The sequence below is a fragment of the Homo sapiens genome, chromosome 6 (assembly GCF_000001405.40).
Source record: "Homo sapiens chromosome 6, GRCh38.p14 Primary Assembly".
Classification (NCBI taxonomy): domain Eukaryota; kingdom Metazoa; phylum Chordata; class Mammalia; order Primates; family Hominidae; genus Homo; species Homo sapiens.
Genome location: NC_000006.12, coordinates 130,795,457 through 130,796,807, shown reverse-complemented (window position 1 = coordinate 130,796,807; position 1,351 = coordinate 130,795,457). Strand labels below are relative to the sequence as shown.

Here is a 1,351-nt window from a genome sequence, read left to right as displayed (position 1 = left end):
TTTTTGTTTATCAGTCATTCCTCAAGCTGGAAGTAGAAAAAGCAGTATTTCAGTAGAGTCATCTAAATCTCAGTTACATGGTTACTCTTTGTGGAAAGAAGCTCAATGGAACTCAAAGGTAAAAAATGAAATAAATAATGTTTCCCTTCATAACCCAAATATTAAGGGAAGGAAGAGGGACATATGGGAAAGGAGCCAGGATACTGAAAATGCTTTGCCTGATGGCTTCCATTAATGGCATGTTTTGGTTGGCTAAGATACAAGAGAAACATCACATTTGCCAAGTGGATGAACTTGTATTTGCTCAGTCTCTGGCCATAAAGACAAAGGCAGAGGTTGTTGGCTGTCAGTGAGGAATTGCTGAGGGCCATGCCAGAAAGTGCCAGAGTAATAGTAGGAAAGGACCACACAGTGAGTCCCTTTGTGAACTAATCACTCTGAGATCTTGGATTTCTCACCAACCATAAAATTCAATTTGGTGAGATAAATATATTGTTTATCTGTTGACCATGGAATTTGATGACTGTCAGGCCTCTGAGCCCAAGCTAAGCCATCATATCCCCTGTGACCTGCAGGTATACATCCAGATGGCCTGAAGTAACTGAAGAATCACAAAAGAAGTGATATTTAAATGGCCTGCTCCTGCCTTAACTGATCACATTCCACCACAAAAGAAGTGAAAGTGGCCGGTCCTTGCCTTAACTGATGACATTACCTTGTGAAATTCCTTCTCCTGGCTCATCCTGGCTCAAAAATCTCCCCCGTTGAACACCTTGTGACCCCGACTCCTGCCCGCCAGAGAACAACCCCCCTTTTTCCTTTACCTACCCAAATCTTATTAAACGGCCCCACCCCTATCTTCCTTCACTGACTCTCTTTTCAGACTCAGCCCGCCTGCACCCAGGTGAAATAAACAGCCTTGCTGCTCACACAAAGCTTGTTTGGTGGTCTCTTCACAGGGACGCGAGTGAAAATGAGTTTGGAGTCATTTCTGAAATTGCATACAGGGAAGGAAATGGAACACTCACATTTATTGAATAGCCTCATTTCCTCTTTGGTGTGTTAGGTGCTTTCACATATATTGTCTTGTTTAAAAGAATCCTTAAGTGGTTTCATTGGACCTAAAGAGGAGGCTGTAAAATTGGCAGAAAGAACGAATTGGATGTTTTGGCTATAGATTTAGCTTGATGGAAGCAATGCATTTCACTTAGGCTTGACTGTGTTTTTTTAGTTGCCAATCACAGTGAGTGACTGTTGTTGGTAAATGAATGACCTAATTCATTAGTGTATGTGTTCCTTTCTTTTTTCACCTACTGGTCCTTGTTCTGTTTTCTTCCCCGCTGCTGATTTT

General features: G+C 41.9%; 1 annotated feature.

Moving 5' to 3' along the window:
* Positions 227-920: an enhancer, noted in NCBI's record as "OCT4-NANOG hESC enhancer chr6:131117030-131117723 (GRCh37/hg19 assembly coordinates)". NCBI's record gives its function as "activates a minimal SCP1, AML or CMV promoter by ChIP-STARR-seq in naive H9 embryonic stem cells {active_cell/tissue: H9 hESC(naive)}" and the evidence as "EXISTENCE:reporter gene assay evidence [ECO:0000049][PMID:30033119]".